This window comes from Homo sapiens, chromosome 11, assembly GCF_000001405.40.
Source record: "Homo sapiens chromosome 11, GRCh38.p14 Primary Assembly".
In the NCBI taxonomy this organism is placed as follows: domain Eukaryota; kingdom Metazoa; phylum Chordata; class Mammalia; order Primates; family Hominidae; genus Homo; species Homo sapiens.
The window spans coordinates 65,547,322-65,572,261 of record NC_000011.10 but is presented as its reverse complement, the minus strand read 5'-3'; the positions used below and the strand labels follow the sequence as shown (position 1 = coordinate 65,572,261).

Genomic DNA, 24,940 nt, shown 5'->3' with positions numbered 1-24,940 from the left:
GACTGGCAAGTCCACACTTGGTGCCTAACGTGCCACCTGACGCTGGGGTCACCACAAACTCCTGTCGGTGTCTGAGTACCTGGGGTGGGCATGAGATGGGATAGGCTGATAGGGTCAGGATGCTCAGGGGAAGGAGGGGAATCTATCAAGGGGATCGGAACACAAAACCTCACTTCCAGGTGGGGAATGGACACCAGATGGCGGAAGAGGCTGCAGAGGTGCTGCCAGAGACAAGGCTAGGGTCCACCCCTCTGGCTGCTACCTTTGAAAAGGCTATGGCTTCTTCCTTAGAAAAGGGGCATCACATAGTCCTCTACCTACTCCCTCATCCTGACTGGGGAAACTGAGAAGAAACAAGCTCAACTCATCTCAGGGCGTCAAGGAGAGCAGAGTGGAGAGGTGAAGAGGCCAAAAGCTGGAAAAAGGTGAGTGGAGCTGGGGCTGGCATGCACACTTGGAACCAGGAAAAAAACAAACCACACAGAGGAACAGCTGTTTTTCTAGAGGGTTTTTCTCAGGGGCTTCTCTTAGTGCTGTAGCTGCTGCAGGCTGCGCAGGGCCTCCGCACATGCGCGGATAAGGCCACACAGCTGGATGCTAGTCTCCAGGGAGGTGCTAGAGCCCAGTTCAGCAGAGGCCCAGGTCAGCTTCTGCAAGAGGGCTGTCTGTGTGCAGGCCATGACATCTGTATTTGGAGGCACAGCAGGAGCAGGTGGCCCCTGGGCTGCCTTGAGTCCTGCTGCAGCTCCCTCACAGTGCTCCGGACGAGGTACTGGGGGCTGGGGCGCAGGTCGAGAGCCCAGGGGGAGCTCTGAGGCTGAGGCCAGCTGGTGCTCCCGAGCTTGGGAGAGGGCAGCCTGGGCATTCAGAGCTAAAAAGAGGAGAAAGTGGGTGGAATGGTCAGGATGCCTGGCCCACCTCAGCCCTGAGCCATCTCCTTTTCTGCTCTGCTCTTTCTGTGCTTGAGGTGTTTTCCCTGTCCCTCTATAAGGCAACTCATCCACTTTCTACTTTGTATCACATTTATGCCCTAGCTTCAATTCTCCATCAGTACTGGGCCTGGTTGAGCTCAGACTCTCGCGCAGTGGCTGGCACACAGGAGGTGCTTGGTGCTCTTATTGAGTTAAGGGTCCTCTTTAGAGCCTAAAGGAGAAATAATTTTACTTCTACCCCACCCAGAGACTCCACTGTCACCTCTCAGCCCTACTGTTCTCGGGCCTCTATCACCACTTAACCACGCTTCCCCCCTAAGCATATCCGGCCCCTCTCCCGGATTATTTTTTACTCTTACCGGGATTATCTTTATCCACGTCTGAGTCGAGTTCCTGACAAGCCACGCAGTAGATTTTCCGCTGTTTGTCTTGGAGGAGGATCGTCTACGGACCAAAAAGCACACGGGGCCGGAATGAGACGCCGGCAATGGGGTCCAGAGGGGAGGGCCGGGGAAGGGCTGAGTGGCCTGGCCCGCGGACCCATCCCCGGTCACTCGCCCGAGTCTCGCCTCACCCCGCAGTCCGCACACGTCTCGCCCAGCATGCGGTAACCGCGCAGCAGATAGTCGCCCATGAGCCGGGAGATGCGATCTTGCCGCTCCCGTCGCGCCTGCAGCACCTTCGTCTCCGCCTCAGTCGGGGGCTCCCAGGAGAAGTCGTCGACTTCTGGGGAAGAGAGGCATAGGGACTGGGGGTCTTGCCGGAGTGGGCTGCCTCCCGTACCTCACAGCCACAAACCCCTGCCGCCCAGGTCCTCACCAGCTCCGTTCAGGGCCATGTTGCCGTTGTCACCGCCGGGCTCACAGGAAGTGACGTCAAAGCGGAGCGCCCTCCGCTGCGGCTCCGCCCGTTCCATAGCTGCCGCGGATCAGGGCGGACGTGACGCCTTAGCGTGGTCCTCAGACCTCGCTGTGCCCGGGGTGGGGCGTGTCGGCTGCTACCGAGAACCTGCTCGGGGGACGCGTCCGTCAACCGGAATCCAGGGGACAGAAGCTTCCGACGCGCGAGGCCTCGGGAGGAGCGTCTCCTTGGTAACTCTCCTCCGGTCGCAAGACCTGGAAGTGGCCTCAGGGGGTCGCCCTTCCTGTCCGTCGTGGATGAAGGGGACCACTTGGCTTCAGAAATCCCCGCTGGCCTCCGCCTCCCCTGGGGTTTCCCTTTCGGCGCAGGCGGGGCAGCGGCGTCATCACAACCATCGCCACCCCAGTAATCACAGCGAGCGGCCCTTTGCGCACGCGTGGAGCCTTCTCAGGCCTCAGTACTTCTCACTTCGCCCGGCAAGGCTGGCCAGGAGGGGTGCATTCTCCCTTTCCGCGTATTTCAAGACCACTCCCCTTCTGCATGCTCGGTGTCCCAGTCTGTCTCCTCGCTGCCTCCCGAGGCCTGGAACTGAAGCAAAGTTCGCCCCGAAGCCGACCGTTCTTTGAAGTTGAAATCCTCAAAAAGCCTGCAGACTGAATAGCGCTGTACTGGGCACGCGCATTGCGCTTCCAGCCGCCCTTGGGTGCTGCGTGCTGGGCCGGGTCGGGTTGGGGCCTTCCTACATACTCTTGCGACCATTAGGCTCTTCTTGGGTGAGTTGCAAGTTAAAATTACCAGGGCTCTCTGAACATGGACCTTGGTGCTTTTTTTCTCTCTCCCTCTTCCGTGTTCTTTTTCAAACGCATCTTCTCCCTTATTAGATTCAGAGAAGCCAGACAGGGCAGGCAGGGGTCCTCAGATGTGCAGTCTGCAGGGCCTGAGGTTGTACACCAGGGCAGTGGAAAAGCAGCTAGGACTTGGACTTTCACAGTTACATCGACATTCTCCTCTTCCGGATGGCACATGCCCCCTCAATCTGACCTGAAGTCCCTTCCTCCTGGCCCCCTCTTCCTTCCACGTAGAACCCCTGGAACTGTCATTCTTGCTGCCTCCTGCTTACGTGGAGAGCCCTGTGTCCCTTTCACATCTCCATCTACCAGTCAGGCTCTTGGGCAGCAGCGTACCTGACTTAGGGCCTGTACCACAAGTCGTTTCTATCAGGCTGAATAGAGCCACCGTTTTTTGTGTGTTTGTTTGGTTTGGTTTGTATTTTTTGTAGAGATGGGGTTTCGTCATGTTGCCCAGGCTGGTCTCCAACTCCTGGACTCAAGTGATCCTCACACCTCAGCCTCCCAAAGTGCTGGGATTACAGCGAAGAGCCACAGCACCTAGCCTGAGGCTGACTAGAGGAACTGTCTCTGAACCATCTCTTGGACTCCAGCCTGTATGCACAGACCCCCAGGTTATTACCGTCTCCAGCTCCCAGCCCTACCCTGAATTCCTCAGTGCGCCGACTATGTCACCATCATGGCCAATATCCACTCAACTGTCTATTCTGCCTCGCACCTACAAAGAGCCTTACATGAGTCCTCTCACTTAATCTCTCCAATTTACTCCTCATGACAACCTTACATATCCCCACATAAGCAGGAAACTGAATAATTATTTTAAAATACAGTGTCGTTCTTGTACTAAAAACCATCTGGCTGCCCGATACTGTGGCTCACGCCTGTAACCCCAGCACATTGGGAGGCCGAGGCGGGCAGATGTCTTGAGATCAGGAGTTCAAGACCAGCCTGGCCAACATAGTGAAACCCCTTCTCTACTAAAAATACAAAAATTAGCCAGGTGTGGTGGCGGGCGCCCGTAATCCCAGCTACTCGGGAGGCTGAACCAGGAGAATTGCTTGAACCGGGAGGCAGAAGTTGCAGTGAGCCGAGATCACACCACTGCACTCCAGCCTGGGCAACAGAGTGAGACTCTATCTAAAAAAAAAAAAAGCCATTTGGCATCTCCCATCACACTTAGACAAAAATCCAAAGTCCTTGTTATGGTCTCCAAGGTCCTATAAATCTGGTCCTTGACCCCCCAAATCCAGACAACACATAGAGAGATGCACACACATCTCCCATCCTTCCTGCATCCCTCTTCTCCCACTGCTCAAGAGGACTCTTGTCCCTTTTCTCCTCTCAGGGCCTCTCACCATCTTAAGTTCCACTGTAGGGTGGACAAGACGCAGAACTGGAATGAGGCAGGCCTGGGTTTGATCCTGGATCTATTTACTGTATCACCTGGAGTAGTTTACTTCATCGCTGTGGACTTCAATTTCTCATCTGTAAAACAGGGCCAGTAGACCAGGTGCTGTGGCTCACACCTATAATCTCAGCACTCTGGGAGGACATGCAGGAGGATTGCTTGAGACCAGCCTGGACAGCATAGTAAGAACCCATCTCTAAGAAATATATGTATTTTTTAAATTAGCTGGTGCAGTAGCATGCACTTGTAGTCCCAGCTACTCAGGAGGCTGAGTGGGAGGATTGCTCCCAGCCCAGGAGATCCAGGCTGCAGTGGGCCATGATCAGGCTTCTGCATTGCAACCTGGGTGACAGAGCGAGACCCTGACTCAAAATAAAAATGGGGCCACTTATGCCTATTTGTTGCTTGTTTGTTTTTTGAGATGGAGTCTCTGTCACCCAACCTGGAGTGAAGTGGCGCAATTCTCGGCTCACTGCCACCTCCACCTTCCAGGTTCAAGCAATTCTTGTGCCTCACCCACTGGAGTGGGATTACAGGCATGCGCCACCACAGCTGGCTAATTTTTTTTTTTTTTTTGAGACGGCATCTTGCTCTGTTGCCCAGGCTGGAGTGCAATGGTGCGATCTCGGCTCACTGCAAGCTCTGCCTCCTGGATTCACGCCATTCTCCTGCCTCAGCCTCCCAAGTAGCTGGGACTACAGGCACCTGCCACCACGCCCGATTAATTTTTTTTGCATTTTTAGTAGAGACAGGATTTCACTGTGTTAGCCACGATGGTCTCGATCTCCTGACCTCGTGATCTGCCCGTCTCGGCCTCCCAAAGTGCTGGGATTATAGGCATGAGCCACCGCGCCCAGCCAATTTTTTAAATTTTTATTTCTAGTAGAGACGGTGTTTCACCATGTTGGCCAGACTAGTCTCAAGCTCCCGACTTCAGGTGATCTGCCCACCTCAGCCTCCCAAAGTGGTAGGATTACAGGCCTGAGCCACCGCGCCAGCTTCAAAGATGTTTATCTAGGGAACAGCTATGGAAGATGGAGATAGTGTCTCCCTCCAGAGCAAAGGACAGCCATGCTTACTGGCTTTGAGTTTCCTAAGCTTAGGGTCCTCTCCCACAATGTAATTCGCTCTGTGTGCCCACACTTGCCTGAGCCCATCAGCATCACCCCCATGGGACTTAGGGTCAAAAGGAACTAACGGAAATATGCTGGTGCTCATGCTGTTTGCTGCACAGCGATCAAGTCCTTTGTCTCTGACCCAGGACTCTCCTGTATTCTGCCAGCATTCTTGAACCTGACGGGCTACCTTGGTAGCTTGCAAGTGGGTAAGATCTCAGATGCTTCACAGTCCTTGACATAGAAGGTGCTCACAGGTGTTGGTGGTAAAACCTATTCGCAGCAGTCACAGTGGACAGGCCAGTGTCTGTGGAGCAATGGGCTTGGGCTCTTTCACACCCTTCCCTTGCCGACAATATATCACACCTTCAGCCAGGCATGGTGGCTCACAACTTTAATCCCAGCACTTTGGGAGGTCAAGACTGGCAGATCACTTGAGGTCAGGAGTTCGAGACCAGCCTGGCCAACATAGTGAAACCCCATCTCTACTAAAAATACAAAAACTAGCTGGGCATGGTGGTGCGAGCCTGTAGTTCCAGCTACTCATGAGGCTGAGACGGGAATTGCTTGAACTGGGAGGCGGAGGTTGCAGTGAGTGGAGATCCTGCCACTGCACTCCAGCCTGGGCAACAGAGCATGGAGTCAGGGAAGAGAAAGGAGGGAAAGGAGGAGGGGGAGGGGGAGGGAAGGGAATCACAGTTTCATGTGAGCCAGTCCAAATTGGTCCCTCCTTGTGGCACTGATGACATGGCTGTAGTTAGGCTCTTTTCTGGGTGATAGAGCACCCCACAGCAGCTCAGTCATGCACAGCTCAATTACAGCTCCCCCTGGGCTGGCTGATTTGGTGGGGATGGTTCACATGGCAACAAGTGGCCTATGCCATGTTGCCTGGCCTCTGAAAAACGTAACTTATCATTTGTATTTTCACACAGGCACTGAAAAGGGGTCAGCTATTCTTTTTTTTTTTTTTTTTTTTTTGGTTTTCACTGCAATGTGAATCACCTTGACATTTCTGTGAAACAGGAAGTGGCTGGATGATACAACAATAAAAATAATCACACTCAACTTGGTGTGTGTGTTTTCTTTGGGCCAGGCACTGTGTTAAGAGCTCTTTATGAAGTATTTCGCTTATTCCTTAGGACAACACTGGCAGCTAGGTCTTATCATCATTCCCAATTTGCAAATGAGGAGGCTGAGGCCTGGAGTAGTGAGAGATGTATCCACAGTCACCCAGTTGGGAGTGGCAGGGCTGGGGCTCCCGGCTGGCAGCCAGTGTACCTCTTGAGCCTGAGCTCTTACCAGTAGATTTCTCCCGTGCTCAAAAGGCGGGGAAGAGTGGCAGGGCAGAAGGGCCCCCTGATTTATCAAGCGTGAAGGTAGTTTCATCTCATTTCCAATCCCAACTCTCAGTGTCCATCGTTTTACTACCCACAGTAAGTGGCACATTAGAGGGGTTTAATAGCCACTTTCAGTAAAGTGTCTTTGGAGAGAAATGCTTTAGGGCAACCTTGTCCCCTCCAGGCCTTCATCACTTCCATCCCTCATCTTTAAAGCTGATGAGCAAGGCCGGGCGCAGTGGTTCATGCCTGTAATCCCACACTTTGGGAGGCCGAGGCGGGCAGATCACCTGAGGCCAGGAGTTCGAGATCAGCCTGACCAACATGGTGAAACCTCATCTCTACTAAAAATACAAAAATCAGTTGGGAGTGGTGGTGGTGGCTGCCTGTAATCCCAGCTACTCAGGAAGCCGTGACACAAGAATCGATTGAACCCAGGAAGTGGAGGCTGCAGTGAGCTGAGATTGTGCCACTGCACTCCAGCCTGGCAACAGAGTGAGACTCTGTCTCAAAAAAAAAATAAAACTGATGAGTGTGACCCCCTTCCCTTCTACCCACCCACCCCCTCGCCAAGAGCCATTTCTTTCTTCAGAGCCCAGAAGCTTCCCAAAGACATTCAGAACTCAGAGGGACAACACATGGAGGCGGCACAGCCTCTGACACACAGTCAGCCCTCGTGGCACGGTGGCTCTCCACCAGCAGCCCGTCTCTCACCACCCTGCCCATCTTGGCTTGCAGATCCAGACAATGATGAAAAGGTCTCACATATCCTGAGTGCTTACTATTTGGCAGGCATCTGCTAAGGGCTTCATAAATATCAGCCCACTGATTCCCTGCTTATTTTTATTTTTATTTTTATTTTTGAGACAGAGTCTCATTCTGTCGCCCAGGCTGGAGTGCAGTGGCACGATCTCGGTTCACTGCAACCTCTACCTCCTGAGTAGCTGGGATTACAGGCGTGTACCACCACATCCAGCCAATTTTTGTATTTTTGGCAGATGGAGTTTCACCATGTTGGCCAGGCTAGTCTCGAACTCCTGACCTCAAGTGATCCACCCACCTCGGCCTCCCAAAGTGCTGGGATTACAGGTGTGAGCTACCACACCCGGACTTCCCTGTTAATTTTTTTTTTTTTTTTTGGTGGGGGGGAACGGGGTCTTGCTCTGTTGCCAGGCTGGAGTGCAGTGGCGCAATCTCGGCTCACTGCAACCTCTGCTTCCTGGGTTCAAGCAATTCTCCTGCCTCAGCCTCCTGAGGACTAAGACGCGCACCACCACGTCTGGCTAATTTTTGCATTTTTAGTAGAAATGGGGTTTCACCATGTTGGCCAGGATGGTCTCAATCTCCTGACCTTGTGATCCATCCACCTCGGCCTCCCAAAGTGCTCGGATTACAGGCGTGAGCCACCGTGCCCGGCCTTTTTTTTTTTTTTTTTTTTTTGAGACAGAGTCCCACTCTGTCACCCAGGCTGGAGTGCAGTGGCGCCATCTCGGCTCACTGCAGCCTCTGCCTCCTGGGTTCAAGCGATTCTTGTGCCTCAGCCTCCCAAGCAGCTGGAATACAGGTGTGCGCCACCACACCCAGCTAATGTTTTGTATTTTTAGCAGAGACAGGGTTTCGCCATGTTGGCCAGGCCGGTCTCGAACTCCTGGCCTCAAGCAATCTGCTCACCTCGGTCTCCCAAAGTGCTGAGATTACAGGCATGAGTCACTGAGACTGGCCTCATTCCCTGTTTAAAAATGAGGAAAGCCAGGTGCAGGGTTGTGTGCCTGTAATCACAGCTACTCAGGAGGCTGAGCGGGAAGGATCACTTGAGGCCAGGAGTTTGACTCTATATTGACGGAGCAATATACAGAGACTGTCTCTAAAAAAAAGGAAGGGTAGGGGGTTGAGGACTGAGGCACAGAGAAGTTGAAGAATTTTCCCAATTCACTTAGCTGGTGCATGACACAGCCAGTATGATCTAATGCTAGAAAACAACCACTGCAATGCGGCCTCCTGAGACAGAACTTTCATCATGCAGCTGCTGTCACCCTGTCCAGCCAATCCCTTAACATGGCATCAGGAGCCCTGAGTTCAGGTTCTGGCTCTGCTGATGGCTGGCTGTGTAACCTTCGTCAAGTCCCATATCTTCTCTGGGCTTCAAGAACCCAAGAACCTCAAGAACATTTGACTAGCCCGAACATTCCCTGGGCCTGGGTCCTATTCCTCCTCCTTGTCCCATTCCAGCAAAGCCCCTCATTGCCCTCAGGGTCCTACCCACCTATCTTCAGGACATTTGTGAGCAAATGTCAGGGCTCCTGATGCCTTCAGGACACCTCTCATTCCTCTCCCCAGGATCATTGTATATATAGGTTCTGGATCAGGCAGGCTTGGGTTCAATCACCAGGTGACCTGAGTCCAGTTGGTTTGTTTGTTTGTTTTTGTTTTTTGAGACAGAGTCTCTGTCTGTCACCGAGGCTGGAGTGCAGTGGCGCTATCTCGGCTCACTGCAAGCTCCGCCTCCCGGGTTCATGCCATTCTCCTGCCTCAGCCTCCCGAGTAGCTGGGACTACAGGCGCCCGCCAACATGCCCGGCTAATTTTTTTTTTTTTTTTTTTTTTTTTTTTTTAGTAGAGATGGGGTTTCACCGTATTAGCCAGGATAGTCTCTATCTTCTGACCTCGTGATTCGCCTGCCTCGGCCTCCCAAAGTGCTGCAATTACATGCATGAGCCACCGCGCCCAGCTGAGTCTAGTCATTTCATCTTTCAGAGTCTTGGTTTTCCCTTTGCAGGGTCACTGGGAGGATGACGTGACCCCACAGTGTAAAGTGCATGGTAGATGGCAGGCACTCTTGTGGCCTCTCTGTGCAGTCAATCAACAAACTTCGGCACCCTATCTGTGCCAAGCCTTGTTCTGGGATCTGGAGACAAGGTTGTCCCTCCCTGAGAGGGTGGTAAGCTGGACAATAAGCAAGTCAACAAATCCACAAAGAATGCTTCAGATTTTGTGGAATACCAGGGAAAAACACAGGTGATATGACCCAGAGGGCTAGGGATGGCTATTTCATTTTTTTAAATTTTTTAATTTTTATTTTATTTATGTTTGAGACACAGTCTTGCTCTATCACTGAGGCAGGAGTGCAGTGCTGTGATCTCAGCTCACTGCAGCCTCCGCTTCCCGGGTTCAAGTGATTCTCCTGCCTCAGCCTCCCAAGTAGCTGGGATTACAGGCGCCCGCCACCAAGCCCAGCTAATTTTTGTATTTTTAATAGAGATAGGTTTTCACCATGTTCGCCAGGCTGGTCTCAAACTCCTGACCTCAACTGATCTGCCCATCTAGGCCTCCCAAAGTGCTGGGATTACAGGCGTGAGCCACCACGCCTGGCCAAGGGATGGCTGTTTTAGAGAAAAGCATCTGCAGGAACCCTGACATGAGGACCATGAAGTTGGCAGAAGAGCATCCCCAGACAGAGGAATGAGCTCAGCCACTCTGAGGAACAGTGGACCTGGCAGGCTCGGGTGAGCAAGGGAAATCACTGGAGGTATTTTAAGGAGGAGAGTCATGGTGGAATTAGGTTTTGAAAGGTGACTCCGGCACCAGGAGGAGGAGGGACCAGATGATGCAGAGTAGCAGTGGGAAGACCTGTTATTGCCAGGAATGATCTGAAGTAATCAGGAAGATCATGGTCTCCTTGGACTTACAGGAGAATGTACATCATGGAGGAATAAAAGTGTGCCGGCAGCCGGGCGTGGTAGCTCACGCCTGTAATCCCAGCACTTTGGGAGGCCAAGGCAGGTGGCTCACTTGAGGTCAGGAGTTTGAGTCCAGTCTGGCCAACATAGTGAAACCCCATCTTCACTAAAAATACAAAAGAATTTAGCCAGATGTGGTGGCATGAGCGTGTAGTCCCAGCTGATTGGGGATGCTGAGGTATGAGAATCGCTTGAACCCGGGAGATGAAGGTTGCAGAGTGGAGCCGAGATCGTACCACTGCACTCCAGCAGAGCAAGAGCTTGTCTCCAAAAGAATCCAAAAAAACCCCAAAAATCCTAAAGTTAGCGAAGCATGGTTGTGCACCTATGGTTCCACCTACTGAGGCGGCGGTGGGAGGGGGGGTTTAGGTGGGAGGATCCCTCGAGGCTGCTTAAGGGATGTTGAGGCTGCAGTGAGCCAAGATCATGTCACTGCACTCCAGCCCTGGCACAGAGTGAGACCCTGTCTCAAAAAAAAAAAAAAAAAAAAAAAGTGTGCTGGCAGATTCTAGGCAAATGAGGTGCCACATGTAGTGATGAGGTTAGAAAAGATGTTCAGGCCAAAGAGACCATGTGTGTTGGGCTTTGTCAGCTTGCCCTGCAGACCCCTTCTGCATTCCTGACCTCCCTGCTGAGCTGGAAAGCTAAGCTCCACCTGCTGTACCCCCAGGCCCCTCAGCCCACAGGCTTTCTTCTGGGTTCAGCCCACGGTTGGCCCAGCTGGAGACCCGTGGCTAGGAAGAGATTAGGGTGATAATTGTTCCCCCAGCGCCCTCCCTGCAGACTGCAGAGGGCCAGGGGCTGCTGCTCTGCTTCAGGCCACACCTCTCAGGCACCCTCCCTGGTTATGCCAGTGGAGCAATGTGCACTGGAGTGATGTCCCTCTGTTGCTAGCCCCAGTGGTTTCAGCTATTTCCTGCGGAGGCCCTGAGAGCTGAAGGAATTTGGTTGGATATCATTTGAGTTGGGCATCATTACTGGGCTGGACACTTTCATTGATCCTTCTCACTGAGTCCCCTCATCAGCCCCTGAAGAAGGGCTGTTATCCCCCCATCATACTGGCAGCAGCTTTAGACACCGAGGGCCACACCGTCCTCCTGGCTCTTCCCCACCACACTCCTGGTTTTCCTCTCTGCTCCCTCCAGCTGCTCTTTCTGGTCTTTCGCCTGACTCCGCCTCCTCTCCCTGCCTGACTCCGCCTCCTCTCCCTGACCCGGGAACAGTGATCTCCCTGGGCACCCTGGGCTCTCTTCTCTCCATAGTAAGCCCACCCTTTCCCGCTGTCGTAGATGCCCCCTGTATAACCCCAAGCCTCTGTCTCCAGGCCAGACATCCTGTCTGAGCTGCAGACTCCCGGGTTCGGGCACCTCCACTTGGATGACTCACAAGCATCTCAAACTCAGCAGGACCAGAACAGAGCTGTGGACCCTGCCCCATGTTTCCAGCTCCTCTGCCTCCCCTCTTCTTCGCCCATCCAGAGATCAGGCCAGGAATCTGGGGGCCATTCATGCCACCTACCTCTCCAGCACCCCTACTTCACCCAGTCTTTACATCTCCCCTCCCAAATACATCTCTCCCAGGGCCAAGTGAGATCTCTCTCCTGGGATGAAGGCAGAGTGCCCGCTCTTGCCCTGACACAGTCCCACTGCAATGAGAATAAAAGCAAATTCCTCACCATGGCCGGCCCCTCCCACCACCACTACACCTTCGGCTCTCCCTCTCCACCACACCCTGTTGTTCCACTGGCCTTCCCTCAGTTCTCTGGATAGCCTCCCCCTGCAGCCTCCCCTGAGGTCAGATGCCCACAGGTGTGACTCACTCCTACTCATCTTCCAGCTTCCGATGGAAGACTCTCTTTGTCTCCCAGGTCCCAGCCCTCTCCTGTCCTGCTTCCCTGCCCTTCTCTGTCACGGTACCAGCCTCTGTTGTAGCCACAGTTCTGTGTGAATTGATCTGGCACATATCCAGCTCTCCTAGTACAGCAGCTCCAGGAAGGCAGGACTGGTTCTATTTGTGGCCAAGAGCTTAGGATGTGGTGGAGTCTCAGTTTGTTGAGTGAATTTTTTACATTTATTTTTTAATTTTTTGTTTTTTATTACCAGTAGTTGAACATAGATGTTGAGTGAATAGATACCCATCTCACAAGCAAGGAAACTGGGGCTTAGAGACAGTAAGAATCCAACCCTGGACTGTTTGACTGTGCTGTGCTCCATGGTGAGCCACAGCCAGCTCTAGGCAGAGTCAGGACAGGTTCAGATGAGTGTTAGGAAAAAATGAGTATACAATGCTCAGCCCTGTGCCTGGCAGGTGGTCGGCACCTAGCATTATTCCCTGCCTCCGTGTGGACCAGGGCCCCAAGAAGCAGGGGCTTGCCCCTCACACCCCATCCTGGATTCCGGCAGCAGGGATCCCTGGGGACATGTGATTGTCCCTCCCAGCCCTGCACCGCTTAGTAAGGGGGACTTACTAAGCGTCCCCCTAAAGCTACCCACATCAACTTACGCTCAAAGTAAAAACAGAGTTCCTTGGACAGGTGTGCCTGAAAGTGAGTCCCTGAACCTCCTCTCCCCAATTAGACTGCTGCCCCGGGTGCTGTCCGGGAGAGGGTCTGGTGCCGCCCTGACTTGGCAGCGCTTTTCCTGGATGTGCCCTAGCCGTCCCCACCTCCTGCTGAGTTCTGTGAGTCAGAGACGGAACCCTGGGGTCTCCTGGCAGGCCCCACAGTAAGGCCTGGGCCCCCGCACGTTGCAGCCTTTCCTTCCAGACCAGCGGACAAGCCTGGTCTGGAACTATGCTCCTCTCCAGCCATGGCCAACCTGAAGACCCCCACCCCCAGCCGCTGCCAGCCCCTGCCCTGGGGCTCTGCTGTGCCCCTCTCCAGCCCCTGGGCCCTCGGACAGCGCCCCCGTCCTCCCGGCTGTTAGCCTGGGAAGGGGGCCAGGCCCTGAGCTCAGACCTTGGCGATTCCAGAGTGTCTGAGGCCCAGAGCCAGCCCCGCCAGCACGGCCAGACGAAAGGAAAGGGGGGAGGTGGCAGGGTGGGCACCAGGAAGCCATTCCGAGGGGGCTGGCAGGGAAGCTGGGTTCTAGCTTTGTTCTTTCTGCTCCTCTTCTGGACCCCACAGACTTCCTCCTGGGACCTCCGTGAGCCCTGGCCAAAGGCTGTCCCCACCCTTTAGCCCTTTCCTCAGAGGGGATTGGACCAGCACTAACGAGAAGTTACTTTGGGGCCCTGAGACCCCCACGTTTGCAAGGGAGGCTGGGAAAGAGCTGGAAGGCCTGGGCTCCGGCTCCACCCGGCCTCCATCGTCAGTGTGACCCGGCAGGGCCACCTCTCTCCCTCAGCCTCGGTATCTCGCTCTACGCAGGCCTCCCCGCCCCGCCCCGCCCGGAGGAATCCGCGGCCGGCCAGACGGTCCCAGGTGAGGGCCCTCTGGAAAGGGCCCAGCGCGGCCGCGGGTTCCGGCGGGGGCGGGCATCTGGGGTGGGGACTGTCCCCGCGCCACCCCCCAGCCTCCGCCAGCCTGCACACCCTCGCTTCTCCAGGCGGCAGAGGCGACGCTTTAAACAACAAAAAAAAAAAAACTGTGTCCCTGGCCCGGGGCCAGCGTCCCAGCCCCCCTCGCCGCCGCCGCGCCGCGCTCCAGCCAGGGAAAACAACTGCTCACTTCTCCCTGAGCCCTCCCCGCGCGCTCCCTGCCTCCCCGCGGCCGCGGGAGAGGAGCCCGGCCAGGGGGAGGCGCGGAGCGGGCCGGCCGCCCGGCCTTCCTCTCCCTCGCTCCTCCTCTCCGCCTCAACTTGCTCCGGCCTCCTCGCTCCTGCCTGAGTTCGGGGCCTGGTCTGGGCTTCGTCCTGGGGCTGGGAAGTTTCTGCGCTCCCCGCTGTCCAGTCTGCATCTCCGCGCCTCCCGCCGGGCCCCCGCGGTCCCCTCCCGCCCGCTTCCCCCGCTGCCCTCCCTCGCTGCCCCCTACCCTCTCCCGGGGCTCCCGGCCCTCTACTCCCTTCGGGCGCGGGCCCCTCGCCCCGCCCGGGCGCGCCCCCCCTCCCCCGGGTCCTGCGGCCCCGGATGCCCGGGCCCCGAGGGGCTGCTGGCGGCCTGGCCCCTGAGATGCGCGGGGCGGGGGCGGCGGGGCTGCTGGCGCTGCTGCTGCTGCTGCTGCTGCTGCTGCTGGGCCTGGGCGGCAGGGTCGAGGGGGGGCCGGCCGGCGAGCGGGGCGCAGGCGGGGGCGGGGCGCTGGCCCGCGAGCGCTTCAAGGTGGTCTTTGCGCCGGTGATCTGCAAGCGGACCTGTCTCAAGGGCCAGTGTCGGGACAGTTGTCAGCAGGGCTCCAACATGACGCTCATCGGAGAGAACGGCCACAGCACAGACACGCTCACGGGCTCCGGCTTCCGCGTGGGTGAGGGCCGGGGGCACGGCTGGGGGCAGGGGAAGGACAGGCACCAGGCCCGGTGGGAGAGCTAGTGGGGTCTTGGCCTTAGAGACTGGGGGCTGAGGGTATAAAGGGCAGAGATCCGAGGGCCTGGGGGACCAGGGGCCTCAGGGAACTTGGGAGGCTGGAACTCTGGGGGCCAGAGTTGGAGGGCTGCATGGAGGCCTGGACTTTGAAGCTTTGCGTTAGGGTTGGGGCCTAAGGGGTGGGGAAATGCAGAGGTCCTGGATGACACTGGCTTCCCAGAAGGTGCTGAGTTCTGAGCAGGAGCACACAGGGTTTTTGAGGAATGTGAGCCGGGGACAGGAAGCCTCAGAGAAGGGCTAAATATTCCCGCAAGAAGCAGACTTGCTGGAAGAAACAAGAAAAGTCTTTACAAAATGTCTAAAGTAGGGCCTGCCAGAGTAGACACCTGCATTCCCTGGGAGGAGGAGCTAAGGTCAGGGCTGGGGATGGGAGCCGGCTACTGGCAAGGTCTGAGTAGGGAGGGTGTTGAGGCCTAAAAGTAGGGTGCAGGCCTGAAGGTAGGGACTAGTTCGGGGTTCTCAGCCTCTCCTTTTCCAATGCCTCCCCATAAGCTCCTAACATCCTGCCTCAGAGGCCCTCAGGGCCCCCCTCATCCTCCCCCAAGCCCCTACACCCTCCCCAGTTCAGCTTGGAGTCCACCCCCTCCCCAGCATCTCTCTTTAAAGGGCCAGGCCTGGGGCTCAGTCATCCTCCTGCTAGGCCCCGTGGGCCAGGCTCGGGGAGGTGTCCCAGCAGTAATTACCCTCCTGGACAGGGTAATTAGGCCAGGCCCAGGATGGCACCAGCAAAACAGCCCCTCTTACACATTCCTATATTCACTCTCCCACTCACAGAGCTAAGGAACCCCACTCATGTGGCTCAAATTTGTCATGAGATGGGGTGTGCGTGCGTGTGTCTGTGCGCATATTGCCCCTGTGTCTGGGGTCATGCCATGGGCATGGCGTGGCACACTGTGAAGTACCCGTCTTTGTGTTGTCTTGGGTGTGTGTCTCTAGTCGCTGTTAGAGAGTATGTGGGAATGTTTTTGTTTTTGTGTTTTTGAGATGGAGTTTTGCTCTTGTTACCCAGGCTGGAGTGCAATGGCGCAATCTCAGCTCACTGCAACCTCCCCCTTCTGGGTTCAAGTGATTCTCCTGCCTCAGCCTCCCAAGTAGCTGGGATTACAGGCATGCGCCACCACGCCTGGCCAATTTTTTTGTATTTAGTAGAGATGGAGTTTCACCATGTTGGTCAGCCTGGTCTCAAACTCCTGATCTCGAGTGATCTACCTGCCTCGGCCTCCCAAAGTGCTGGGATTACAGGTGTGAGCCACTGCGCCCGGCCAAATGTATGGGAATGTTTATGTGAACCTGTGTTGGTGTCAGGATGAGTCTCTGTGTGTGTGTGACAAGAGGACTGTGGGTGTGAGTGTACGTGTGTCCATCTCCCAGGCTCCCTGGCCATCCTGCCCAGGCTGCTGTCTCCATCTGTGCTGCCCACATCCCCCAGGCTCGGTGCCCAGGCCACAGTGGGCGGGTGTCATTGGGAGGTCACTCTCACCGCTATGAGTGACTCACTGGCAGAAAGGAAAAAGAGAATCCTACCTCCCCCCGCCCAGGACACACCCCTCTGCTCTGTGAGGCCTGGCCCCAAGAGGCCAGGCAGGATGGGCTGGGCTGGGATGTGCTTAGCCTGACCCTGAGGGCCATGGATATGGGCTGTCCCTGTGAGGCCCTTCTGGCATCCAGGAGAGCAGCACCCCCGCCCTCCTGCCCTCCTGCCCTGGGAAGTGAGGGCAGCCATGGGGTGGGCAGGAGAAGGGCTGGGGCTTTGGGATGAGTCAGAGCCCCAAGGCTGGTAGTAGCACAGGTTGAAGGTGAGTATGGGACAGAAACAGACAGAGGTCCCATCCTCTCCCTCAGTCATTCTTTCATTCATTCCCCCGAACCCCCTGTGGGACCCAGAGCTGAGGCCAGCCTGGCCCTGCCTTCCAGAGCACCCTCTATAAGGAGGCAGACAGACAAGAACATAGCCAAGCAGGTGCCAGGCAGAGCTGGCCAGTGGGTGGTAAGGCAGGAGAGGGAGCTCAGGGGGGCCGGATAGGAGGAAAGCCTCCCTCCTGGTGGAGACACTGAGCTAGGAAGGATGAGATCTGCATATATAGAGAGGGGGGGGACCTGGGGCCCTGTTGTGGAGGGAAGGGCATGGATGAGGCCAGGAGGCAGGAGGCAGGCACATTTGCAAGAGGGAGATGGGTCCTGGGGTGTGCAGTACACAGGGAAGGAGCAGAGGGGGATGGGCTGAAAAGGTTCTGGTCCATGGAGTGAGCTTCTGCCTGAGGCAGGTTTCTCTGGGACACTGAGATTGTGGACCAGCAGGAGAGGCTGGAAGCCAAGGAGGGGTCTGGGTGGCCAGGCCTGGGCCAGGGCAGGAGCAGTGGCCCTAGGGAGGAGGGGAGGCAGGTTCATGGGACATTAGAGGCTGTAACTGGGCAGGGGAGAGCAGGAGGGACGGAGCCGTCGGGGCTCAGCTGTGGATGCCTGGTGGCCAGGTGAAGAGGAGGTGGGGAGGCAGGATGCTGACTTCTGACAGTATGTCCTGGGCAGAGGTGCCTGAGAGAGCCCTGGAAAGGCTGGGGGCTGTGTCTGTGTCTTGAGATGTGGACATCTTTGGCAGTGGTGAGGTGGGCGCCCCAGGATGGTGAAGAGGGAGAGGGTGGAGAGCAGGCAGAGAGGACTGAGGCCTGAAGGAGGGAAGGGTTTATGGGAGAAGAGGAGGAGGCGCCAGGGACGGAGCCAATACCTTTGGAAGGCTCAAGGGGAAAGCCAGATCACCATAATTATTTGCTACCACTTATTAAGCACCCTTTGTGTACCAGGCCCTGGGGTAAGCATTTGTACAGCCCTTACCTCATCTAACCCACACATCTCTACAGATGAGGACGCTGGGGCACAGGGAGGGGACGTGAGTTGCTCAGGGTCGCACAGCTGGCACATGGCTTAGCGAGGATTTAAATCCTGGACTTGAGACTCCAGAACCCAACATAGGTGTAAGGATGTTGGGGAACCTAGAGAGGGCAGTTTCCCTATGTAGGATGTATCTCAAAACCTGGCTTCCCAAGAGGACAGAGCCAGTGGGTGGCAAGGAAGTAGGGAGGAGGGGAAAGAGACAGGATGTGGGTGAGGGCCTGACCCCACTCTTCTCCCCAGTGGTGTGCCCTCTCCCCTGCATGAATGGCGGCCAGTGCTCCTCGCGAAACCAGTGCCTGTGTCCCCCGGACTTCACTGGGCGCTTCTGCCAGGTGCCCGCAGGAGGAGCCGGTGGGGGTACCGGCGGCTCAGGCCCCGGCCTGAGCAGGACAGGGGCCCTGTCCACAGGGGCGCTGCCGCCCCTGGCTCCGGAGGGCGACTCTGTGGCCAGCAAGCACGCCATCTACGCCGTCCAGGTGATCGCTGACCCTCCTGGGCCCGGGGAGGGGCCTCCTGCCCAGCACGCAGCCTTCCTGGTGCCCCTAGGCCCGGGACAGATCTCAGCAGAAGGTACCAGGCAACTGGCAAACCCGGGAAGGTCGCCAGTGGGTGGGCACTAGGGTGGCCAGGGCAGGGCAGGTTCAGCCCTGGAGGAGCTCAGCGCGGTGACCCGCGGCGCGGTGCGGGCAGCCCTGAGGCCACCGCGCCCGCCCCCAGTGCAGGCCCCGCCCCCCGTGGTGAATGTGCGCGTCCATCACCCGCCCGAGGCCTCAGTCCAGGTGCACCGCATTGAGAGCTCGAACGCCGAGAGCGCAGCCCCCTCCCAGCACCTGCTGCCGCACCCCAAGCCCTCGCACCCCCGGCCGCCCACCCAGAAGCCCCTGGGCCGCTGCTTTCAGGACACTCTGCCCAAGCAGCCGGTGAGTGAATCCACAGTCGGGATCTGCCTTTCCTTCTCTCAGGGTTGCTCTGCCCCAACTCACTCGGATAGCAGAAAACTGAGGGGCGGGGGAAGAGGAAAAGGCCCAACCCTAACAGGCGGCACCGGGGCGGGGTGCTCTGTGACCCCACCTCCCCCTCCTTCCCCTAGTGTGGCAGCAACCCCCTCCCCGGCCTCACCAAGCAGGAAGACTGCTGCGGTAGCATCGGCACTGCCTGGGGCCAGAGCAAGTGCCACAAGTGTCCCCAGCTGCAGTGTGAGTGCTTGGGCTCAGGGGGCGTTCCCTATCTGGTGGCCCCTCCCCACCCACCCCACCCATCCCTGCAGTGGGAGTCCCCAGGTCACCAGATTCCTCTCTACATCTGCTGTGCCCCTCCCCAGTTCCCTCCTCACCCTCCCCTGCCAAGCTATCCTCTCTCTGCAGACACAGGAGTGCAGAAGCCAGGGCCTGTACGTGGGGAAGTGGGCGCTGACTGTCCCCAGGGCTACAAGAGGCTTAACAGCACCCACTGCCAGGGTATGGCCAGCTAGGAGATTCTGTGGGCTGGAGGGGCAGGCCAGCCATCACTGGGGGTGGGGAGGGTCCCAAGGTGGGCGAGAGAGGAGGTGGGGCTGGGGCAAGACCCTGAGGTTCTTGGAGCAGCCTGCTGTCACCCCATGGCCCCAGACCAGAGGGGCCAAACTTCCACTTACCACAGACATCAACGAGTGCGCAATGCCGGGCGTGTGTCGCCATGGTGACTGCCTCAACAACCCTGGCTCCTATCGCTGTGTCTGCCCACCTGGCCATAGTTTAGGCCCCTCCCGTACACAGTGCATTGGTGAGACCTGGGGCTCAGGTTCCTGGGAGGTCACAAGGCATGGGTGGGAGCAAGGATCAGAGATCGCAAGAGATCAGAGTGGGGTTAAGGGTTGACTGCAGGAGGAACAAGGCCCAGAGCCAATAGGATCAGGGATCAGCAGGGTCCGGGGTCACATGAGATCTGCCATTAGCAGTCACATGGGGTCAGGGATTACATAGAGTCAGAGTCATGCAGAACATAGGCTTGATGAGTAGGAGTGGTGAAGTCCAGGATAGCTAGAATCGGGAGTCAATGGGGTCAGTGGTCACATAAGTTTCAGGGGTCACATGAGTTCAGGGTCATATGGGGTCAGAGACCACATGGGGGATCAAGGGTTGTCTGGGCCGGAGAGGCAAGGTCTGCAGCAGCTGGGCAGAGGGACGTGGGCAATGTGCAGGCTCAGATGCCCATGCCCCCCACTGGCCCCTGCAGCAGACAAACCGGAGGAGAAGAGCCTGTGTTTCCGCCTGGTGAGCCCTGAGCACCAGTGCCAGCACCCACTGACCACCCGCCTGACCCGCCAGCTCTGCTGCTGCAGTGTCGGCAAGGCCTGGGGCGCGCGGTGTCAGCGCTGCCCAACAGATGGCACCGGTGAGTCAGGGTTACCCGGGGATAGGGGTTCATAGGTCCATGCACCTGTCCAGGAAATGCTCACTTTTGTGTCTGCTGTCTTGACTGCAGCTGCGTTCAAGGAGATCTGCCCAGCTGGGAAGGGATACCACATTCTCACCTCCCACCAGACGCTCACCATTCAGGGCGAGAGTGACTTTTCCCTTTTCCTGCACCCTGACGGGCCACCCAAGCCCCAGCAGCTTCCGGAGAGCCCTAGCCAGGCTCCACCACCTGAGGACACAGAGGAAGAGAGAGGTCTAGCCTGACCCCTTCTGATCCCTGACCCATGCCAAGCCCCTAGGCCTGACCCCTTGACCCGTGATCCACAGATCTGACCTCACAGTCTAACCCCCAATTCCTTATCCCTGACCCATCCACTGACCTCCCACCTGACCCTCTGACCCCTGACCCAGATATTTGACCCTGAGCTATAACCTCCTAAGCCTTCTACAGCCTGACCTGTAACCCAAGGCCATTCAACCTGATCATGTGACTACTATGCAAACACACCCTAACCCCAGAATCTAACCCCTGACCCTTGACCTGGAGACATGATTGTTGAACTCCCAGAGACCCTAACTGCAAATACTCAGCTGCTGATCCCAGATCTGACTCCCTTCTCCCGCCCCAACACTTCATGGCCCCATCTTCTTCCCTTTTAGGGGTGACCACGGACTCAGTGAGTATGAGAACCCAGATGGGAGGGGTGGGCAGGCGAGGGACAGGAGGGCTCATGCTGCTGTCACCCGCAGCCGGTGAGTGAGGAGAGGTCAGTGCAGCAGAGCCACCCAACTGCCACCACGACTCCTGCCCGGCCCTACCCCGGTGAGCTGGGCACTGTAGGGATGAGTCCTCAAGGGCTAAATCACTGGGTGGGCGGGGAGTTCACAGTTTAAGTACTCGGGGACAGTCAAGCTGGGGTGGGGCGCCGGGCCAAGACTGAAGTGGAAAGGGAGGCTTCAGTCAATATCGTCTCTGACCAGAGTGCACTGCCGCCCGCAGAGCTGATCTCCCGTCCCTCGCCCCCGACCATGCGCTGGTTCCTGCCGGACTTGCCTCCTTCCCGCAGCGCCGTAGAGATCGCTCCCACTCAGGTCACAGGTAAGGCCCGCCCAGCAAAGCCACCCCTGCCTAGGCCACGCCCCCACTTTAGTTTTCTCTCCTCCCTCCCGCCCCCAGGCATTCCCTAGCGCTAATAGGCTAGCGTGTATCCAGGGCTGGGCACTGGGGAAGCCTGGTGAGCACCAGAGATCCCACTGCCCTAAACGATCCAGGTAGCATGGTGGTTAGCCCATTCTGAGGGATTTCATTCATTCAACAAATACTTATTAGTGTTACAGGTCTTTTAGAATTTGTCTAGCAGGTTTCCCAGTTTTTTTTTGTTTTTTGTTTTTTGTTTTTTTTGAGACGGAGTCTTGCTCTGTCGCCAGGCGGGAGTGCAGTGGCGCAATCTCGGCTCACCGCAGCCTCCGCCTCCCGGGTTCAAGCGATTCTCCTGCCTCAGCCTCCCGAGTAGCTGGGATTACAGGCATGCGCCACCACGTCCAGCTAATTTTTTTTTTTTTAGTAGAGACGGGGTTTCACCATGTTGGCCAGGGTGGTCTCGATCTCTTGACCTCGTGATGCGCCCGTGTCGGCCTTCCAAAGTGCTGGGATTACAGGCATGAACCACTGTTCCCAGCCCATAACCATCTTTCAAAATCTGTTCAGAAAGCCTTCTATCATTGCCACCCTACTTATTATCACAACCCTCAGAACTCCTTCCTTCTACTCTGATTTTTTTATTTTTATTTTTATTTTTTATTTTTTGAGATTGAGACGGAGTCTCGCTCTGTCGCCCAGGCTGGAGTGCAGTGGCGCGATCTCGGCTCACTGCAAGCTCCACCTCCCGGGTTCACGCCATTCTCCTGCCTCAGCCTCCTGAGTAGCTGGGACTACAGGCGCCCACCACCACACCCGGCTAATTTTTTTGTGTATTTTTAGTAGACATGGGGTTTCACCATGTTAATCAGGATGGTCTTGATCTCCTGACCTTGTGATCCGCCCGACTTGGCCTCCCAAAGTGCTGGGATTACAGGTGTGAGCCACCACGCCTGGCCCTGATTTAGTTTTTCATAGCATTTATAAGACATAGGAGATTCTGCTTATTGATCGGCTTGTTGCCTGTCTGCTCTGCGAGGACAGGAAATTTTTGTCTGTTTTTGTTCATGCAATATCCCTAGCACCTCAACAGTGCCTGGCACATAGTAGGTGCTCAAGAAATATTTGGGTTCCTTTCTTTCTTTTTATTTGTTTAGTTTGTTTTTTGAGACAGGGTCTCACCTTGTGACCTAGGCTGGAGTCAGTGGCAGGATCATGGCTCACTACAGCCTTGACCTCCTGGGCTCAAGTGATCTTCCAGCCTTGGCCTCCCAAAGTGCCAGGATTACAGGTGTGCGCCACCATGCTCTTTTTTTTTTTTTTTTTTTTCCCGGCCTGGGGAGTTTTCCTGTGAAAACTGGGAAACTGTGGCAGGGTGCAGTGGCTCACGGCTGTAATCTCAGCACTTTGGGAGGCTGAGGTGGGTGGATCACGAGGTCAAGAGATTGAGACCATCCTGGCCAACATAGTGAAACCCAGTCTCTACTAAAAATCCAAAAAAAAAAAAAAAAAAAAAAAAGATTAGCTGGGCGTGGTGGTGCATGCCTGTAGTCCCAGCTACTCAGGAGAATCACTTGAACCTGGGAGATAGAGGTTGCAGTGAGCCAAGATCGTGCCACTGCACTCCGGCCTGGGGACAGAGTGAGACTCCATCTCAAAAAAAAAGAAAGATGGTTAGAAATGCCAGAGACATGAGGAAGGGAGGGGCATTCAGGTTGGGAAAAGGATATCACAAGGGAAGTTAAGTTGGGCAAAGGCATGGAAGCATGAAACACTGGTGGAGGAGGGAGAACCCACACACAGGCCAGTGTCTCTGAACCAGGGGAAGTCCAGTGCACTGAGCCTTGTCAAGGAGGCTTGAGTTTAATGCCAGAGGCTATGGGCAGTGTCTGCAGGATTTTGAGCATCATAATTGCTAGCTCAGACTGAGCAGTCCCTCTGTGCCAGGTACTGTCTGAAGAGTTTTACGTTCTAAATACCATTTAACCTTCTCATACTCTGCAAAGTGAGCGTTGTTAGCCTCGTTTTCCAGATGAGAAAGCTGAGCCTCAAAGAGGTTCAGTAACCTGCCCCAGGTCACACAGCTGAGCCGTGTTCAAGCCCATGCCTGTGTGGGCTTCAAAAGCACAAGGGAACTGCCAACCCAGCTGAAACCCTGATCCTCCATGAGCTCCTAGGGTTAGGGCTCAGGTGGGAGATGGCTGTTCTTGGGGGCTTTGGGAATGTGGACAAGGCCCCTCAAAGGAGGGGCTGTTAAGGAAGCCTAAGGAGAGGTACTCCAGGCAAAGAGAACAGCCTGCAAAGCCCACTGGCCAGGTGAGTTTGGGGCAGAGCAGAGTTCACTGTTATGGCCCAGGCTGCATGGCAGGAGTGAGGGGGAAGGGGTGTGGGAAATGAAACTGGTGAGCAGTGAGGATCCAAAGGAGGGGAGAGGCTGGAGGCAGGGAGTCCTGGGCTTGGTGACAAAGAGAGTGAGGGGGGTGGTTCCTGGATCTGACTGCCTGTGCACAGCTTTGGCACTAGTTAGGATTCCCAGGAAACCAGCTCCTGCTAGTCTTGGGAGGGGGTAATCAACCCTTCTGGAATAGGGGGTCGGGTCCCTGGGGCAAGGGCTTATGGAGTCACTGGGCTAGAGGACACTGGTGTGACCGAGGCTATAGAGTTTAAGGTATTGAGGCGACTGGGGAGAAAGGAGTTTTAGTCCCTTGGGTGGGAGTACTGGGACGACTGAGGGGCCCTGAGGGGATGTGGTTTGGTTTGAGGTGAGTGGGGTCAGGGTCTTGGAGTGAACCGGGAATGGAAGTATCCGGGCCTGGGTGTGGGGTGATACGGCTGTCAGGGGCCTGGAGTCCTAGTTTGGAGCTTTCTGGGGTCTTGATATTGGGGTTATCTAAAAGAGAGAAATAGGACATCCTGGAGTTGGAGTATGGGCGTACAGGAACCTGAGGTCATGGTGTGACTGGGGTGTTGAGGTCTGCCCTGGGGATATGGCAGAAGGTGAGCGCTCCCTGCTCTGCCGCTTGACCTGGCCATGCCCGCAGAGACTGATGAGTGCCGACTGAACCAGAACATCTGTGGCCACGGAGAGTGCGTGCCGGGCCCCCCTGACTACTCCTGCCACTGCAACCCCGGCTACCGGTCACATCCCCAGCACCGCTACTGCGTGGGTGAGCGCAGGGCAGGCGGCGGGCATGCAGGTGGGTGGGGGGGGACCCCAGATAACGACGCTTCCTTTGACTTTTCTTGGCCTACCCGTTCTTCTCAGATGTGAACGAGTGCGAGGCAGAGCCCTGTGGCCCGGGGAGGGGCATCTGCATGAACACCGGCGGCTCCTACAATTGCCACTGCAACCGCGGCTACCGCCTGCACGTGGGCGCCGGGGGGCGCTCGTGCGTGGGTGAGCGCCGCCAGGGCGGAGGCGGCCCTGGGTGGGACGGGCTCTCCTCCAGACCGCCGTGTAATCCCTCCCCTTGCCCGCCGCCTCCTACACCCCCTTCGTGGCCCCTTCCTCCCGCACAGACCTGAACGAATGCGCCAAGCCCCACCTGTGCGGCGACGGCGGCTTCTGCATCAACTTTCCCGGTCACTACAAGTGCAACTGCTACCCCGGCTACCGGCTCAAAGCCTCCCGGCCTCCTGTGTGCGAAGGTGAGGGGACCCCATTCAGACCAAAGAAGGAGCTCCTTAGCTGTCTCTCCACCTGGGGTGGGGCTGGGGTGCCTGCATTTTTTTTTTTTTCCCCCGAGACGGAGTCTCACTCTGTCG

At 56.5% G+C, this 24,940-nt stretch overlaps 2 protein-coding genes, 1 long non-coding RNA gene and 1 pseudogene across 6 annotated transcripts in view, besides 9 other annotated features; 3 read left to right on the top strand and 1 right to left on the bottom strand.

The window, feature by feature from the left end:
- Nucleotides 1-373: 373 nt before the first annotated feature.
- ZNRD2 (zinc ribbon domain containing 2) lies at nt 374-1,785 on the bottom strand. Of its 2 annotated transcripts, NM_006396.3 has the most exons (4): nt 1,752-1,785; nt 1,507-1,658; nt 1,292-1,376; nt 374-871 (listed from the first exon to the last, which is right to left on the bottom strand). In NM_006396.3, exons 1-4 carry the CDS (start codon nt 1,768-1,770, stop codon nt 528-530), a joined length of 600 nt encoding a protein of 199 aa, NP_006387.1. In that variant the 5' UTR covers nt 1,771-1,785; the 3' UTR covers nt 374-527. The 2 variants fall into 2 exon arrangements, with proteins under 2 accessions (NP_006387.1, NP_001289953.1); NM_001303024.2 differs by having other exon boundaries at nt 1,507-1,785.
- Nucleotides 1,468-1,697: an enhancer, noted in NCBI's record as "active region_4989". NCBI's record gives its function as "activates an Ori minimal core promoter by ATAC-STARR-seq in GM12878 lymphoblastoid cells {active_cell/tissue: GM12878}" and the evidence as "EXISTENCE:reporter gene assay evidence [ECO:0000049][PMID:35858748]".
- Nucleotides 1,708-2,427: an enhancer, noted in NCBI's record as "active region_4988". NCBI's record gives its function as "activates an Ori minimal core promoter by ATAC-STARR-seq in GM12878 lymphoblastoid cells {active_cell/tissue: GM12878}" and the evidence as "EXISTENCE:reporter gene assay evidence [ECO:0000049][PMID:35858748]".
- On the top strand, nt 1,849-3,042 carry ZNRD2-DT (ZNRD2 divergent transcript). The gene has a single exon (NR_038923.1). It is a non-coding gene; the product is annotated as a ZNRD2 divergent transcript (long non-coding RNA).
- Nucleotides 10,470-11,133: an enhancer, noted in NCBI's record as "H3K4me1 hESC enhancer chr11:65328600-65329263 (GRCh37/hg19 assembly coordinates)". NCBI's record gives its function as "activates a minimal SCP1, AML or CMV promoter by ChIP-STARR-seq in naive H9 embryonic stem cells {active_cell/tissue: H9 hESC(naive)}" and the evidence as "EXISTENCE:reporter gene assay evidence [ECO:0000049][PMID:30033119]".
- Nucleotides 13,625-13,784: a silencer, noted in NCBI's record as "silent region_3538". NCBI's record gives its function as "represses an Ori minimal core promoter by ATAC-STARR-seq in GM12878 lymphoblastoid cells {active_cell/tissue: GM12878}" and the evidence as "EXISTENCE:reporter gene assay evidence [ECO:0000049][PMID:35858748]".
- Nucleotides 13,835-14,074: a silencer, noted in NCBI's record as "silent region_3537". NCBI's record gives its function as "represses an Ori minimal core promoter by ATAC-STARR-seq in GM12878 lymphoblastoid cells {active_cell/tissue: GM12878}" and the evidence as "EXISTENCE:reporter gene assay evidence [ECO:0000049][PMID:35858748]".
- LTBP3 (latent transforming growth factor beta binding protein 3) overlaps nt 13,903-24,940 on the top strand; it is a 19,801-nt gene continuing 8,763 nt past the window's right edge. Inside the window, exons 1-14 of one of the 3 annotated variants that reach the window (NM_001130144.3) lie at nt 13,903-14,633; nt 17,882-18,211; nt 18,359-18,561; nt 18,732-18,837; nt 19,006-19,098; nt 19,280-19,402; nt 19,856-20,014; nt 20,105-20,290; nt 20,698-20,714; nt 20,788-20,860; nt 21,038-21,136; nt 24,217-24,342; nt 24,441-24,572; nt 24,695-24,823. In NM_001130144.3, the coding sequence (NP_001123616.1) occupies nt 14,303-14,633; nt 17,882-18,211; nt 18,359-18,561; nt 18,732-18,837; nt 19,006-19,098; nt 19,280-19,402; nt 19,856-20,014; nt 20,105-20,290; nt 20,698-20,714; nt 20,788-20,860; nt 21,038-21,136; nt 24,217-24,342; nt 24,441-24,572; nt 24,695-24,823 (2,107 nt within the window). In that variant the 5' untranslated portion in view covers nt 13,903-14,302. The remainder of the gene's footprint in view (nt 14,634-17,881; nt 18,212-18,358; nt 18,562-18,731; nt 18,838-19,005; nt 19,099-19,279; nt 19,403-19,855; nt 20,015-20,104; nt 20,291-20,697; nt 20,715-20,787; nt 20,861-21,037; nt 21,137-24,216; nt 24,343-24,440; nt 24,573-24,694; nt 24,824-24,940) is intronic. The other 2 variants (NM_001164266.1, NM_021070.4) reach the window with 2 other exon arrangements.
- Nucleotides 18,765-19,440: an enhancer, noted in NCBI's record as "H3K4me1 hESC enhancer chr11:65320293-65320968 (GRCh37/hg19 assembly coordinates)". NCBI's record gives its function as "activates a minimal SCP1, AML or CMV promoter by ChIP-STARR-seq in naive H9 embryonic stem cells {active_cell/tissue: H9 hESC(naive)}" and the evidence as "EXISTENCE:reporter gene assay evidence [ECO:0000049][PMID:30033119]".
- Nucleotides 18,796-18,845: a silencer, noted in NCBI's record as "silent region_3536". NCBI's record gives its function as "represses an Ori minimal core promoter by ATAC-STARR-seq in GM12878 lymphoblastoid cells {active_cell/tissue: GM12878}" and the evidence as "EXISTENCE:reporter gene assay evidence [ECO:0000049][PMID:35858748]".
- Nucleotides 19,441-20,116: an enhancer, noted in NCBI's record as "H3K27ac-H3K4me1 hESC enhancer chr11:65319617-65320292 (GRCh37/hg19 assembly coordinates)". NCBI's record gives its function as "activates a minimal SCP1, AML or CMV promoter by ChIP-STARR-seq in primed H9 embryonic stem cells {active_cell/tissue: H9 hESC(primed)}" and the evidence as "EXISTENCE:reporter gene assay evidence [ECO:0000049][PMID:30033119]".
- Nucleotides 21,365-21,407, top strand: LOC124902823 (uncharacterized; annotated as a pseudogene).
- Nucleotides 24,492-24,671: a silencer, noted in NCBI's record as "silent region_3535". NCBI's record gives its function as "represses an Ori minimal core promoter by ATAC-STARR-seq in GM12878 lymphoblastoid cells {active_cell/tissue: GM12878}" and the evidence as "EXISTENCE:reporter gene assay evidence [ECO:0000049][PMID:35858748]".

What these genes read in the sequence shown, in the direction of transcription:
- ZNRD2 (NM_006396.3), bottom strand. An exon ending in AGACGTGTGCGGACTGCGGG is followed by an intron (nt 1,377 to 1,506) that starts GTGAGGCGAGAC and finishes TTTGGTCCGTAG; the next exon opens with ACGATCCTCCTCCAAGACAA. An exon ending in CGTGGATAAAGATAATCCCG is followed by an intron (nt 872 to 1,291) that starts GTAAGAGTAAAA and finishes TCCTCTTTTTAG; the next exon opens with CTCTGAATGCCCAGGCTGCC.